The following is a 16,829-nucleotide window of genomic DNA, read 5'->3' on the forward strand; positions in this document are numbered from 1 at the left end:
GTCCTCTGGTGCCCGCTGATGCCCTCTCTGGACCCATAAGCAAGTGCTGTCCCCAGTAAGGAAGGAAGAGTTTGCCACCAGGCAAATGGAGGCTGGGGCAGAGTGTTCCTCTGTGTTTTCAGTGTCTTTGACTTAACTCCTCAAAATTTTGGGGAGAAATATTTTAGGTTTTTTAAATGGCATTACAAAGTTCAAGCTATTTTGGCATTTAGTAGATACTCGCTACAAGTTGGGAGAATTACGTTTATTTCATTTTTTAAAAGTGTCTTAAGTGCCTATTATGTGACAGACACTGTGCTAGGTAGGGCAAGAAAGCATGGTGAACAAGACAGAGATTTCTACTTTCAGTAAGTTTTTATTCTGAGGAACTGTATTCGTTAGAGTTGGATAACGACCATAACAAAAACACATAAATACTCAATTCTCAGTGGCTTAGCACAATAAAAAATGCATTCTTCACCAAGTTCATCTTAGAATAGTGTGGATTGCTGAGAAGACAGGTATTCTGTTCCATGCAGTCCTTCAGGATCCCAGCCTCCTTCCATATTTTTTTATGTCCACAAAGTCTTCTCCATTAAGCCAGCAGATTAAGAAAGAGAAAGCCAGGAGATTGCACAGGTAGTTTTTATGGCCAAGCTTGAAAGTGGTATACACTACTTTACTCACATTCCATTGACCAGACTCAGTCACATGGCCACACCTAACTGCAAAGGGGATTGAGAAAGGTAGCACACAAGAAAAGAAAACATGATTTGGTGAACATGTAACAGCCTGTACTGCAGGAAACAGAATAAATAAGTGGATATAATCCAGTGTGGTAACTGCTGTAACATGGGGAGGTAGAGTGCCTGATAACATAGAAGAAGGATACCCAACCCAGATGGGGTTTAGGCAGGGAGAATATCTGTACGAACTGATGTCTAAGCTGGAGCAGAAAAAAAAAGTCCATTTCTCTTTAGAATAGTGTAACTTGTTCACTAATGAGATACCCCTTGCATGAACAATTTGTTTAAATCCAAAAACACTTTTTTACAAGGTAACCATTAGAAAACAATAAGCCCTTTTAATGGGTTGCTCTGGTTCCCTGCTTTAAGAAATAGCATAATGTGGCATACACTATTGACTGTCCAATAGCCGTTCCTTCCTTCTTCCTTGATAAGAAAATGCCAGTTTTCTTCAGCCATTAGTCAACAATGTGTTCTAGGAAAATGGGCTCTAGGAAATGGGCTATAATTGGTCTAAGCCAACCATGGTAATCCAATCCACCTTTCATTCATTCAACAAATATTTAATAAGCTCCTGCTATGTGCCAGTCTGTTCCAAGTGCTGATTGTCTTTACCAATTATAGGCATGGAGTGGGCATGTGGCCCAACTCCAGACACTGAGAGGTAAGGGAAGACTGCTAAGGAGCTTCTGGGAAAAGGCTTTTCCTCTGTGATAAAATAAAATGAGAGATGCCTGAAAATAAAGCCAGGACCTTTCCTGTGTTTGGATGATGTCATGTAGGATGTGATGCTTGGAACTGGAGCAATCATCTTGGGACCATGAGGAGAAAGAGAAGAGAATCCCAGAAAGGATGATTGAGAGCTCTGGCCTAGTCAGGCTGTTGAATTAACTGAACCTGGAATGACCTACAGAAAAACAAAAAACCTGATATGCCACTTTCAGTTGAGTATTCAGTCACTTGTAGCAAAAAGTATCTTAACAAGTATGCATGATTTTGAATTTTGTTTTCATTGTTTGTTGTGGATTAGAATGGGTGAATTTTCTTTTTTTTTTCTTTCTTTCCTTCTTTCTTTCTTTCTTTCTTTCTTTCTTTCTTTCTTTCTCTTTTCTTTCTTTCTCTCTTTCTTGCTCTGTCTTTCTTTCTTTCCTTTGTTTTCTTTTTTTGAGGTGGGGTCTCACTCAGTCACCCAGGTTAGAGTGTAGTGGCACGAGCTCGACTCACTGCAACATCTGCCCCCTGGGCTCAAGTGATCTTCCCACCTTAGCCTCCCAAGTAGCTGAGACCACAGGTGTGCACTGCCACACCCAGCTAAATTTTTTTTTTTTTTGCATTTTTGGTAGAGATGGGGTTTCTCCCTGTTTCCCAGGCTGGTCTCCAACCCCTGAGCTCTGGATATCCATCTGCCTCAGCCTCCCAAAGTGCTGGGATTATAGGCATGAGCCACCATACCCAGCCTTGGTGAATATTTCAATAAATGGATGAAGAATCTGACTTTTTCATTTTCTTCCTAGCTGTGTTGTTGATCCTACAGGAATTTCTGTCCTAGGCATCTTTGTGGACAACAATCATATTCCATTATCTTGTTGGCGGCCCCTTTGGCCACTGCAGATTCCCTGTTGGAAGCTGATGTGTTTGGAGCAAAGTCGCATTCTCTATTCTGGATGAGGTTATCTTTCTCTAGGTCCCCTACCTGTGGCCCCTCAGGGAGGACTTCCAAATGAGGCTGTTTGTTTGTTTGCTTTTAATGTAGAAGAGGCGTCTCCTCATTTGAAGAGTCAGCTTTCTTTCTGTGAACCTCGTCAGCCTCCCTCTCTCCTCTCTCTCTTTCCTCCTCTTTTGTTTTTTTGTTTTTTTTCCCCCACCATGCAATGAGTTGGGCTGTGAGCTATACTTTGTGGCTGGTGAGATTTTTGGAGGCCTCCCCGAACCTTGTGTCCCCTCTCGAACCTCATCTTGAGTTGTAATCCCCAGGTGTTGAGGGAGGAATTAGGTGGGAAGTGATTGGACCATGGAATTGGTTTCCCCCATGCTGTTCTCATGATAGTGAGTGAGTTCTCATGAATCTGATGGTTTGGTAAGGCAGTTTTCCCTGCTCTTGCTAGCTCTGTCTTATCTGCCGCAATGTAAAGAACGTCTTTGCTTCCCCTTTGCCTTCCGCCATGACTGTAAGTTTCCTGAGGCCTCCTTAGCCATGTGGAATTGTGAGTCAATTAAACCTCTTTTCCTTATAAATTACCCAGTCTCAGGTAGTACCTTTGTAGCAGTGTGAGAATGGACTAATACACTTGTTCAAAACAGAAACCTGGCAAACTTCATGCCCTAATTTAGAACTTTCTGCCTGAACTCAGTGGAAGCCCAGCTGAGGAATTAATTGGTATGTCAATAATACTTGAACTGAATATTGAAAATATTTTGGAATAAGCTTTAATTTTGGAATAAGTAGGTCAAATAGCTTTTTACTGGAATGATTTGGCCTAGATTCACAGATATTTTGGATGCCACTGCTTCTCACTATCTTGATGATGACAACAAAGGGGATATCTTTTCTATGCACTGTGAGACTTGGGTGCTAGTGCATGTTCGCTCTGCTTATAATCTAAAAGATCATCCTTTGGGACTTACATGTCTTTCCATTTCTTATGTTATTGGCTGTTTTGACTAGTAGCTATCATTTGAGGAAGAAGGATTGGATAGGTCAGGATATTGACAGAAAATAGATGGCAGAGGTAATTGAAGGCAGTTTAATGAAGGAACTCTACAAAGGTATGAAGAATATTAAGGGACACCAACAAGGGATAGTGAAGCATTGGGGCTAACAACAGTTACCACCTCTAGGCTTGGGTCAAAGGGAGGGTCAAGGGGAAGAAGATGTTACCAAAAGCTGGAGAGACCTGTAGCTGTGTAGAGGGCCCTCCTGATAGAGGCCATTGTCTTGAGAAGAAGAACGTAGTCACTGCTAAACTGCAAGTCTAGAAGCCCAGAGCTGCAGCAGATTTGAGGGAGTTGGAAATAAACCACTGCTTTGAAAACACTAAGACTGGAGGTTTTTTGTTAGTGCAGTTAAACCTAGTATTTCCTGAATAATGCAGAGACTCAGGCTCTTTCTGCATGGTTGTCCTCCAACCCTAAGGTGTTGCTGTCACCCATGCAGCTTCGACAGTAAGATGGCTCATTACTATGCTTGCATTCTAGGAAGTGGGAAGGAGAAACAAGAAAGCATACTTATTCCTTTTAGAGGCATGACCCTGAAGTGCACATATTACTTTCTTGGCCACACGTAATGTTCTAGTTATCTATTGCTGCATAACGAATTATCCCAAAGCTTAGCAGATTAAAACAACAAACATTTATGATATCAAATAATTTCAGGAGCAGCTTAGCTGAGTGGTAGTGGCTAAGGCGCTGCAGTTATCTGAAGGCTCAACAGGGTCTGGAGGATGTACTTCTAAGCTTACTTACTTGGTTGTTGGCAGAGCTCACCTCCTCACTGGCTGTTGTCAGGAGGCCTCTGTTCTTTGCCACATGAGCTTCTCAACATGTAGAGCTGCTCAACATGCTTCTCCCAGAGCAAGTAATCCCAGGGGGAAGAGAGAGAGAGAGAGAGAGAGAGAGAGAGATAGAGAGAAAGCTTAGTGTCCTTTAGAACCTAATCTCAGAAGTGACCTAGAAGTATTTCTGCTTAATTGTGTTAGTCAATTCTGTGGCACAATGTACCAATTCTGTGGCACAATGTGGGCAGGGACTATGCAGAGGTGTGAATACCAGGAGGCAGAGATTGTTGGAGGCATCTTGGGGGCTGGCTAAAAACCTGACTATAAAGTAAGTGAGAAAACGTAGACTTTAGACACGCAGCCATCTCCCAGATAAAACTACTGAAAGAAGGGAAAAAGAGCTAGGGGACAATCAGAATTCTCTCCCTTAACCTGCCCTTCTAGCTACATAAATACACATATGTAGTCTCCTTTTCATACATGAATACATGAAATGAAACTATTTCTCTAGATTACAGTTCCTGTGCCCCTGAGGATTCTTCCTCTTAGGGTCACTATCCCAGGACACTTGACTTCTTCACTCCCAGAGAATGCCAAGTTTCTATCTAAAGAGCTTTTTTTTTTTTTTTTTTTTTTTTTTTTTTTACAGGAGTGGGAAGAGAGAGCTTCTATCTGGAAGAAGAAAGAAAGAAGAAAGAAACGCCTTCTGCATTACTAATCTGGAATGCTAGGGCTGATTCATATGAACCATGAGTCAGTTTGTCATTGCATTTAGTAGTTGGATGAGTTATATAAGTTGAGATTCAAATAAACGTTTCTTATGTTTTTCTAAGTTTAGTTGGCAGACTCTTCTAAGAAGCCACATTGATATTTGTTTACAGGAGCACATTCCTCATGCAGCAGCACTCACTATCTGTAATGATACAATTGTCTTGGTGAAGGTAAAGGAGAGGGTCTCTAGGAACCTTTGCTCCTCTGTTTCTATAATTGTTTCTATAGAGCTCACCAGGCTCATAATGCCAGGTTTCATAAAACCAAAAATCTTATCTCCTGCCTTGCCAATATAAGCTGTGGCTGATGTCCCGGATCCTTGCCTGACTTGTGTCCACTTCACTACCTCTTAGCACGTCCATCATGGGAAAAGAATGTGAAATTTCAAATTATTTGTATTATTACCACAATTGTTATTAGTCACTCTGACATTGAGTTGAGACAAGGATACATTTGAACAGTTGATATGAGGTTTTTTTTTTTTTTTTTTTTTTTTTTTGAGACGGAGTCTCGCTCTGTGGCCCAGGCTGGAGTGCAGTGGCGCAATCTCGGCTCACTGCAAGCTCCGCCTTCCGGGTTCACGCCATTCTCCTGCCTTAGCCTCCCGAGTAGCTGGGACTACAGGCGCCCACCATCACGCCTGGCTATTTTTTTTTGTATTTTTAGTAGAGACGGGGTTTCACCGTGTTAGCCAGGATGGTCTCGATCTCCTGACCTCGTGATCCGCCCGCCTTGGCCTCCCAATATGAGGTTTTTAAAGGACCTTTCAGTGGACAATAGAAGATGTGGAACAAAGTTTACACATGAGGACCAGAGTTGAGAGAGAGTAGCAAAAAGTCTCCAAGAAGGTAACAGGCCAGGTGCAGTGGCTCACACCTGTAATCCCAGCACACTGGGAGATGAGGCAGAAAGATTACTTGAGCCCAGAAGTTCGTGACCAGCTTGGGCTGTCAAGAAAGAAAAAAAATAGCCACGTGTGGTGGCAGGTGCCTGTAATCCCAGCTACTCTGAAGGCTAAGGCAGGAGGATCCCTTGATCCAGGGAGATCAAGGCTGCAGTGAGCTATGATTGCACCACCATATTCTATGTAGCCTGGGTGACAAAGCAAGATTATGTCTCTATTTGTTTTTTAATTTTAAATTTTGAAATAGAGATGAGGTCTCACTATTGCCCAGGCTGGTCTCAAAGTCCTGGGCTCAAGCGATCTGCCCACCTCAGCCTCCCACAGTTCTGGGATTACAGGTGTGAACCACCATGCCCAGCTGAGACCTTTTCTCTTAAAAAAAAAAAAAAAAAGAGGGTAACTTATCTGCCATACATTTGTATATAGTTTTAAAAATTATGTAACCCCTTGAGGTCCATAAATTCTCCACTTGTCAGGGGTTATCTTTTCTTTTAGTATGTAAAAATAATTTTTCTCAAGTTCCCATTGGCTGAGAAAAATCTAGTGCTACTTCTGGTTACCTCTTACTATGAATCTCTGGTTCCCCTATATTCTTAATTACACTAGGGGCTGAGATTCCTCCCTCCATGCACTTCTCTCTTCCTTTATTTGCTCTCCCATTAGTAAGGGCTCTTTTTTATTACAAATGACAGATACACTGAGAAAGGGATTCACTAGTTCACAGAGCCAGGAAGGCTGGGGTAGCCCAGGGAAGAGTGGGAACCAAGGCCTCAGGACTTTCTCATTCCCATCTGCCTGGCTTCATTCCCTCCCTTTACAGAATGGCTTTCTCCATGAGTCCGAGTCAAAGGCTACCTGCAGCCCCAGCCCTCCATCTTCACAACTCTCCATGAAAGGTGACAATGTAGAACCATCTCTCCAGGTCCAATTGCAACAATTCTGGCAAAGGACTTTGGCCCAGCCTAGGCAACATAGTGAGATCCCATCTCAAGAAAAAAAAAAAATTAGCCAGGTATGGTGGTGCATGCCTGTAGCCCAAGCTACTAGAGAAGTTAAGGTAGGAGGATCCCTTGAACCTGGGAGGTCGAGAGCCCATACTTGGTTCAGTTCATGTATGCCAAGGGTTATGACGCTGTCATTGGCCAGCCTGGGTCTAACTGTCATGGGGGGAGAAATCTGGGGAACTGTGATTAACGGCTCTATCAGGACCACATGAAGTAGAAGTAGTTCCCCAAATGTGAAGGTGCTATTACCAGAAAAGAGGCAGACAGAAGCCAGCACTTTCACTGTCTACGGCCTCCTGCAAGCGCGGCTCAAGCAGATCCTTCCCCAATCCCTAAAGCATCACCAGTACAAGGCCATTTTGTGAGACAGAGCTGTTGGGAAGGTTGAAGACAGCAAAAAACAATTACAGCATAGTGACAGCAAGCCCAGCACTGTATAGATAGTCATTGAAAATAGAACATTTGATATTTTAAAGTTCCTAAGCCCAGTCCACCAGCCTCTCACTGGTGCCTTCTGGGTCAGCTGACATTGTGCCTGCCGTCCCTTACCAAATCGTTCTCCTCCACCTCTCCATTCTCCAAGTGCCCATGGATCCTAAACGTCATCCTACCTGAATCTCCGTGGGACAAATGGTATTTTATTGTGCACAGCCACTGAGTTCTTTTTTCCTCGTCTTCTAGACCTATATTTCACAGCCCCCAAAACTATTAAGATGTTTTCCTAGGCCGGGTGTGGTGGCTTATGCCTATAATCCCAGCACTTTGGGAGACTGAGGCGGGCAGGCCACCTGAGGTCAGGAGTTCCAGATCAGCCTGGCCAACATGGTAAACGCCTGTCTCTATTAAAAATACAAAAATTGGCTGGGTGTGGTGGCATGCGCCTATAATCCCAGCTACTGGGGAGGCTGAGGCAGGAGAATCGCATGAACTCGGGAGGCAAAGGTTGCAGTGAGCCGAGATTTGAGCCATTGCACTCCAGTCTGGGCAATAAGAGCAAAACTTCATCTCAAATAAAAAAAAAAAATATGTTTTCCTGAACAAGACAGCCAATTTTTTCCTTAGGAAGCATCCTTCCATCCTCTCAGAACAATGGTTCAATCTGCTGCTAGCTTCTGAATTAAGTTCTTCTCCCTGTTGCATGTGTATTTATGCATAGAAAACATGCCTTCCCCCAATATGATATAGCATAATATTAAGGTTAGTAAGACGTTACCTCTGTGTGGTGGGATCATGGGTAATTTTTTACAGTGTTTTAAACATTTATTAGTTTCATTAGGCAGGGGTTTCCCTCTCCCTAATTTTTGGAGCCCGATCATGTGTAATTTTTATGAGTTTTGTTGGTTTTATCATTTCTTTCTTTTCTTTTTTTGCTTATTTCTATTTCTACAATGAACAACTGAAAATGGTACAAGGCAAGAAAGGAGTGAAGAACAGAACCTGCTGCTTAAGTCCCTTTTATCAAGAAATGCAAAAGCCTTCCCCAAAGGCTTTTTGACCTCCCGCCTTTGACCTGATCCTTGTTGGATAGACTGTGTCATGTGACCACACAGCCTCAAGGGAGAATGGAAAAGAGAGGATTTAATGTTTCCAGCCCTTACAGTCTCATGAAAGAAGTGTGACAACAGAGAAGGGGCTTGGGTATGATGATGGGTCCAGCTAACCTACAGTGTCTGCAACTGCACACCTAGGATACAAGGTGGAGACAGAGGGCACTGTGCAGTTTTTCTGAGTCTAGGGTGGGCATTATTGTTTTGGTGTATGACCCTGGGTGTCCAAAAGAGACTCCTGACAATAAAACTTAGAGTTCTGCGTTCTTGTGAAGACTTATCTCAGGCATCAAAGTAAACCTTGCCCTGTCTGTTAGTACTTTGTAGCAGTAGCAATTATTATGACTATTTACAAAGTGCTTTTTAAAAATTTAGTAGAATGTTGCTATCCCTGTTTCACAGTTGAAAAAGCAAACTCAAGGAGATTAGTACTGGTAACATACTTGCATTTAAAAGGACACTGAACCCTCATTCCCTCCCATCACATGCCATTCAAGGACTCTAGACTATTGGGCAGAGGAAGTGATTCTTTTACCATAAATGGGGCTTCTGGGCCCAAGTTAAAGGCACACTCTCTGCCCAGCTGGTTTTGTCCTGGATTGTTCTTTTTTTTTTTTTTTTTTTTTTTAACAGGGTCTCAATCTGTCATCCAGGCTGGAGTGCAGCAGCATGATCTCAGCTCACTGCAGCCTCTGCCTCCCAGGCTCAAGCAATCCTCCCACCTCAGCCTCACATGTGGTTGGACTACAGGTGCATGCCACCAGTCTCCACTAATTTTTGTATTTTTAATGGAGACAGGGTTTCACCATGTTGTCCAGGCTGGCCTTGAACTCCTGGGCTCAAGTGATCTGCCTGCCTCAGCCTCCCAAAGTGCTAGGATTACAAGTGTGAGCCACCGTGCCTGGCTGTTGCTCTGGATTGTTCTTGAATCATCTCTCTAGTGTGTTGGAAAGACTTCTGACCTGGATCTTAGACCTGGTTTAGTATTCCTCTCATTGCCTGACATGGACCAATCACCATACTCAGTCTGCTTTGTCCACAATTTAGATCCCCACTACTTAGGTTGCAGGAGAGGATGCTAGATATGAGTCTGTTTTGCTCAGACCCTGGTGCACTGTGTATTTGTTGTCAGAAGAAAAGTTTTAAGATACAGGAAGAGGAAGCTTGCCCAGGGATGTTTAATAGGATCTTGTAAACATCTGTATTCTAAATAAATAATTGTTAGTGTTTCCACTTTTGGTTTCTTAATTTTAGAGAACCAGAAAGACTGTTCCTGAACTAGAGGTAAGAGTTCAGAAGTGTATACCTGTGTCATCCCAGGCTGGATTAGCAGGTGTAGTTATCAGCCTTTCCAATATCCATCTTTCCCTTCTTCCTTACGAACAGAACCCTAATTTTGCTCAAGGCAGCACTATGCTCATTTACAAGTGCCCCAATTCCCAGACTCCCTTGCAGCTAGGAGTGGCCATGTGACTCACTTTGGCCAATGTGATGTAGGTGGAAGTTGTTAGGTGGGGGCTTCCAGGAAATCTTTTTAGAGAGGAAAGTCTTAGCTGGCATTTGCCCTATGCTTTCCCTCCCTCTTTCTCTTCATTTTGTTTGAAAGGCAGATGCAGTGTCCAAGTATCCATGAATACAAAAGCTGTGTACTACAGATAGTAAAATGGGAAGATGGAATGACCCCAGCTCCTTGACAACATTAGGGAGCTACTCTAACAGCCCTGGATTACCTACCTGGTGATGTCTTACTTAAACACAATCAAGAAAACAAAGAAACAGCCAGGCTGGTGGCTCACACCTGTAATCCCAGCACTTGGGGAGGCTGAGGCGGGTGGATCACTTGAGGCCAGGAGTTTGAGACCAGCCTGGCCAACATGGCGAAACATTGTCTGTACTAAAAATACAAAAATTAGCTGGGTGTGTTGGTGCATACCTATAAGCCCAGCTACTCAGGAGGCTAAATCAGGAGAATCGCTTGAACCTGAGAGGCAGAGGTTGCAGTGAACCAAGATCATACCACTGCACTCCAGCCTGGGCAACAGAGTGAGACTCTGTTTCAAAAAAAGAAAAAAGAAAAAGAAAAAGAAAAAGAAAAGAAAACAAAGAAACAAGCCTATTTGCTTAATCCATTGTAATCAAGTCACTCTTCCATGCAATCAAACACAGTCTTAACTGATAGACTATTAAAATGGTGTCTTACTCTGTTTGGCTGCTATAACAAAATATCTTAGATTGGGTAATTTGTAAACAACATAAATTTATTGCTCGCAGTTCTGGAGGCTGGTAACTCCAAGATCAAGGCACCAGCAGACTATGGTGAGCCCTCAATCTGGTGAGGGTCCATTCCTCCCAGGTGCTTCCTATGTATCCTCACATGACAGAATGGCAAACAAGCTTGCTCAGGCCTCTTTTATAAGGCAGTAATCCCATTCATGAGGGTGGAGCCCTCATGACCTGGTCACCTCCCAAAAGCCCCACCTCCTAATATCACCACCTTAGGGATTAAGTTTCAACATATGAATTTTGTTGGGGGCCGGGGTGTGGGCGGGGGGGATGGGACACATTCAGGCCATAGCAGACATCTAGTGTGCTATGATAGTAAATGAATGCAAATTGAGTGTAGAGTTTGTTAGAACAGTGCTGCTCCAACTTCCACGTGCATATAAACCGCTTGAGGGCCTTCTTAAAAATGCAGGTTCTGATTCACTGGGTCTGGAACGGGGTTTGAGATTCTGCATTTCTCACCAGGTTGAAGCTAATGCTGATGAGGCTGGTCCTGGAACACACTTTGAGTAGCAAGGATTTAGAAAATGGCAGCTCTCCTGGTCAGTCAGCTCCTACCACATAGGAGCTATTATTTTGTTTCTCTTTGATATGTTTCTTATTTCGTTAAAAACCTGCAGAGAACTCACTCAGTGCATCTTCAACAAAAAGTTAAGGTTTTATTTAGAATATCATTTTAGAGACAAAAAGCAGTTCACTTTATTTAGCAAAATAAACTTAACCAATGCATTTAAATATAGTAAATTCAAGAACTTTGGTGGTTTTTTTTCTTAGATGCTTGCTTTTTTGCCAGTTGGAGTTTCTGTCTTCTGGCCCAACAGGCTTCTTTCCAAGTTAATGCAGCTATATTCCAAGGAAGTGTTTTATGAAATCTGAATACTCAAACACCCCTTCTGTATTTTCACTCAACCATCATTGTATTAGATGATACATAAGGAAAGTGACTTAGGGAAGTAAGTTCAGAAGGAAATGTGTTCCCTTCTCCCTCATATTATCTTTTCAACAGAGGCCTGGATTGCTAAATGGATTATGAAAGCAAATTGCTACTGGGAGGTGATGGTCAAAAGCAAACTTAGATGGTTTTCACACCATCTGTCATCATGACTCAAAGGGAAATGCTAGCCACACCATTTTTCCAGTGAAGCCACTGCTTTACACAGAAGATACACATAGCTTCCTATTGTTATTTTCTTTTCTAATTATGTACATTTAGAAAAAAAATACAACACTGTGTTAAACAGCAGGACAGCTAGCAATGGAACATACAACACTATGCTGAAAAACCACAACAGCTTGGTTAAGCGGAGGAGAGAAACAGAGATGGCCTTCATGGAGTGAAGCTGTCAATGCCTGCCATCTCCTTAGTCTGTGACGGATCTGCACTCTGAGGGCAGGCCTTCTGAGCGCCGCCACTTTGCCAGGCGCTGCTTAAACCATTTCTGGAAGAGAGAAATGAGAAAAAATATTTGTCACATACAGAAAAACTGAAATGCCTGTTCCCTTTCTAAAAGGTAGCCTCTGTGGCACAAGTGGAAAGGAGAGAATCAAGGAATGTTCCCATAGGGATGGTTCTCACTGTGACACTAAACTTTCCTGCCTCAGGACCTTTGCACATGCTATTTCCTATGTTTAGAATATTCTCTCTTTATTCTTTATCTGATGATCTCCCTGTCATCCTCACATCTCAGCTTAAACAGGACCTTCTCAATGAAGCCTTCCCTGATCACTCTATCTAAAATGGGTTTCCCACTCATCTCCTTACTTCCCAATTTAGTATTTTGTTACTTTCACAGAACTTTTAGCATCTGTCATGATTTACTTGTGTATTCACTTGTTTTAAATCTATATTCCCTTCTAGAATGTAAGATCCATGAAAGCAGAGACTGTATTCATCCTATCACCATTGCATCCTTAGCCACTAGTACAAAGGTTTAAGAGTTAGAAATTAATCAATATTTGCTGAATAAATAAAAGAAGTTAAAGCATCTCCTTAATGCCCCAGATAGATCTCTATGGCTGCTGTATTTCATCAATGTATGCTCAGCTCACCAAAGGCCTTCCTCATTGGTAGCAGTTAGTAAGAATTTGTTGAATAAGATTAATAGGTAACTGAGCGCTGCACAACCTCAGAGCACTCCTTGGGGATGCATGGAGTAGGCCAGCCCAATCTATCCTGCTCCAGGGCCACTGAGCAGTGAGAGAAGCTAAAGTGGGCCTACCACTTTACTCAGAATCTCTCAGCTCCGTATGACTCAAATATTCACACCTTACAGAAGTGACCATGGATGTACAGAAGGCCCCAGATGGGATGTTTCTAGACACGGTATCATATGAGGCCTAGAACATGCCTATATGTTGTAAGGCAGTGTGGTATACCCTTGAGAAATCAGTGGCTGCCTTTATCTTGCTAACCGGGGTGGTACAGAGCTCCCCAAAGAGGAGAACAGGAGAACCATGCTGGGGATAGGGCCAGGGTCTGGACCAGGTTGATCAAGAGGAAACTGGGAATAAAAAACAAAGCAAAACAACTTTGAAGAGAGACTAGTGAGGAAACAGATGAGCAAGCATTGACCTACATTGGAGAGGATGAGGACAGAGCTCTATGGGAAGTCAGCACCTCCCCCAAGCTCTGTTCTCCTGTGCTTCCCAACCATTCACATGTCATGGGGTACATTGAGAAGGACAATATTTGTGTGTCACTGGTGTGTAGGCAGGCTGTGTGGTAGGTGACCACCCAGGGCTCTGCAGCCCTGGGCTCTGCCAACAGGAAGCTCTAGAGTAACTAATTGGCTATGAGAACTTGAGGAAGTCCCTAAAAATAGAGCACCAATCATCTGTAAATAAAAACGTAAGCTTAGGGGGTTTCTACTGTCCCTTCTGGTATTTCTATAATTCACCTGTTCTAGGGGTAAGGGGACGAGGAACAGGAAGGAAGCAGAAAGAGCACAGCTGTGAGATGCCAGATCTGGGATGTGCTGATGGAGATGGGATGGTGAGAAACCTCTAGAGGGCTCCCCACATAGCATGGCTTGATGCCTATACAGATACTCAGAATGAACAGGATGGGCTCTAGGAAGCTGAAAGGGAATTCAGTATATAAGCCCAAGATCAGAAGAAAGTGTGAGAATCACAGGGGGAGAAGGAGCAAGGCCTAGAGGAGAGGCTGTTGAGCTTGAATGGGGGTAAGGCTCTGCAGGACTGCTTTGGGCTCCACATCAATGCTAAGCAGGCTGAATAGCATGGGAACACACCTACACCTCACCCACCTGTACAGCAGAGTTTACACACTGAAATCCTTTACACAGTTGTCAAGATCTTACATACCTTTACACTGGGGCGGCAGTAGAGAAAAGTAATCGAAAGCCAAGCACGGCAGACTATCATGGGGGTAGCCTTCTCTTTGGGGGCTACTTTCTGGGTGCCATATTTTGCTCCTGGAGATCAAATCACTACCCTTCATGAGAAGAGAGAACTCATGTAACTTTGGCAGCTTCAATCGAAATTCTACTGCTAAGGGTGGGCCCATTTTCTTCTGTAACCTGTGTGCGTGTGTTTAGTTAACTCTGGATTCTGGTATGAGAGCAGCAAGGTTCCAGTTTCATTAATGAGGTAGCTCTGTGGGGGGTTTCAAGGATGCAAGGTCTGATTAAATAGGATTTCCAGTTACTACAGCTGAAGAAATGGCAGCATTGTAAAGACTGACTAATTAAAATCTGGAGGAGGAAAATCTCACTTTCTATCAGATTTCATTTAAGAAAAAATGGTTGAGCTGGTCTCATTTAAAAGAGCCACCCACATCTTTACACTATGTAATGAAGCAGAATATTGATGGACTGTTACTGAAAATAACTTCAGCAGGGACCACATTTGTGGTTTTGTGAGTTGGTACCCAAATGCTTAACAAACTGAGCCCTAACATTGGGGGATGGGAGGAGGTCAAGAAAAGCTCAACTGTTTTTTGAAGATGCGTATTTTAAATCAAGTATATATATAATAATTTAGCAAAACCAGTTGCAATCCAACAGAAATCATTAAATACCTTGCTTGCTTTTTTCCCTTTAGAGCTGTATCTTATCAATCTCATGCACATCAGTGCTAATTTTCCACCTGGCTTTATCCTTCTCTTCTTTGTTTCAGTCATCCACTGGGAAAGACATTCATCCCTTGCTTGCTTATAAATGAATGCCCTCATTACCCTTGCCCATTGATGGAGATTTATTTACTCTGAATAAACAGATGATAATTAGACACTGTGATGGGTAGGGGCTGGGGCAAAGGAACATTGTTCCTGTCCTTTTCTCTAGTAACTAACATTTCATTCTTTTCAGGAAGAGACCTTTAGAGGTCTTTATTCCACCGATAAAACATCCAGTGACTAAAACCACTGGGTTCTGGGAACAAGCTCAGGACATCAAGAGGAGATAAAAATACTTGGAGACCTCCCTAAGAACCAATTCCAGTTACATTGTGCTTGAATTGAAGAGAAAGGGAGAGAGAGAAAGAGAGAGAGAGAGAGTGTGTGTGTGTGTGTGTGTGTGTGTGTGTGTGTGTGTGTGTTTGAAATAATAGAAAACACCAGATCATCCCAACCTCCCACGGGGCTGAGGAAGGAGATTTCCCAGCCTCTTCTAAAACTGACTTCAAAATAAAAGACATAGGGCTGGGATTCTGTAAGTTTTCATCTAATTTAAATCTAGGAGATATTTAGATTACTGTATTGAGAAAAACCCATTCTAACATCCCAGTAAATGCAACTTAGAAAGTTATTTCAATTACAGCACCCTTCACTTTACTTTGAGTTCTTATGGGTGCCACCTCCACCCCCACAGAGAATTTTGTCCTGAAGTGGGACAATTATAAAGAGGCCAGCAAATCTCCCAAGACAGAGAATGTTTCAACTTCTTAGTCCCGCTTGTCCCTGCCCCAAGTATCGGCCCTGTGAATCAGTTCTGGTAACTATCTTGCAAGAGCACTGGGCAGCTCAGGCTTCTTTTTGTGGTACTGAAGTATTACTTGTTCTAGGGAAGTTAAGAATATGATTCCATTTCTGGAGGTGGGTGGTGTTGGGGTGGGATGAGGACTCAGGCACATGAAACAAATGTTAGTTTGGCTTTAGTGACCCTTTCCCATGGAAAGGAGCAACACTAGTAAGAACAGAGATAGGGGAGGCTGGCTGCGATGGCTCATGCTTGTAATCCCAGCACTTTGGGAGGCCAAGGCAAGAGGATTGCTTGAGACCAAGAGTTCAAAACCAGCTCAGGCAACATAGTGAGACCCCCATCTCTACAAACAATTTAAAAATTAGCTTAAAAATTAGCCAGATGTGGTAGTATATGCCTATATCCCAGCTACTTGGGAGGCTGAGGTAGAAGGATTGCCTGAGGCTGGGAGGCCAAGGATGAGGTGAGCCATAGTCGTGCCACTGTACTCCAGCCTGAATGACAGAGTGAGACACTCTCTCCAAAAGAGAAAAAAAGAAAGAAAGAAAGAAAAAGAAACTGGGGAAGTGTCAATACCAGACATTACTTATATGTAGGCCCAGCAGGTCCTAGCCTCCATGGAGTTATTTAAAGGGTCCTCAAGACCTGCTATAAACAAAAATAATTTTAATGACGGAAAGTTCATCATTGGGCATATGTCTCCAGAAGACACTTTCTTTTTGTAATATTTTTATTTTTATTTACTTACTTATTTTGAGACAGGTTCTCCCTCTGTAACCCAGGCTAGGTGGTGCAGTGGCATGATCATAGCTCACTGCAGCCTTGAACTTCTGGGCTCAAGGGATTCTCTTGCCTTAGCCTTCAGAGTAGCTGGGACTACAGGCATGCACCAGCACACCTGTTTGATTTTTTTACTTTTTTATTTTTTATTTTTTGTAGAGATGGGCAGCGTCTTGCCATGTTGCCCAGGCTGGTCTGAAACTCCTAGCCTCAAGCAATCTTCCTGCCTCAGCCTCTCAAAGTGCTGGGATTACAGGTGTGAGCTACTGTGCCCAGCCAGACACTTTCTTTTTCATAGGAGATACTCTTTAAAAATATAAATGTTGTTTGAGAAGATGAAAGAAGAAATCATTCTCATTCACCAGTACCCATGGGGGTAGT

The 16,829-nt window shown here is 43.0% G+C and overlaps 1 protein-coding gene across 15 annotated transcripts in view, besides 1 other annotated feature; it reads right to left on the reverse strand.

Annotated features, from left to right (window-relative positions):
- Positions 4,121–5,320: an enhancer, noted in NCBI's record as "P300/CBP strongly-dependent group 1 enhancer chr4:57506917-57508116 (GRCh37/hg19 assembly coordinates)". NCBI's record gives its function as "activates an origin of replication core promoter dependent on BRD2, BRD4, P300/CBP, MED14 and CDK7 cofactors, with strong dependence on P300/CBP, by STARR-seq in HCT116 cells {active_cell/tissue: HCT116}" and the evidence as "EXISTENCE:reporter gene assay evidence [ECO:0000049][PMID:35650434]".
- HOPX (HOP homeobox) overlaps positions 11,368–16,829 on the reverse strand; it is a 33,709-nt gene continuing 28,247 nt past the window's right edge. For 14 of the 15 annotated variants that reach the window (XM_017008728.2, NM_139212.4, NM_032495.6 and 11 more), the window contains one exon: positions 11,368–12,167. In XM_017008728.2, the coding sequence (XP_016864217.1) occupies positions 12,090–12,167 (78 nt within the window). In that variant the 3' untranslated portion in view covers positions 11,368–12,089. Of the gene's footprint in view, positions 12,168–14,052; positions 14,183–16,829 lie in introns of all 15 variants that reach the window. The other variant, NM_001145460.2, reaches the window with a different exon arrangement.

The sequence above is a fragment of the Homo sapiens genome, chromosome 4 (genome assembly GCF_000001405.40).
Source record: "Homo sapiens chromosome 4, GRCh38.p14 Primary Assembly".
Lineage (NCBI taxonomy): Eukaryota > Metazoa > Chordata > Mammalia > Primates > Hominidae > Homo > Homo sapiens.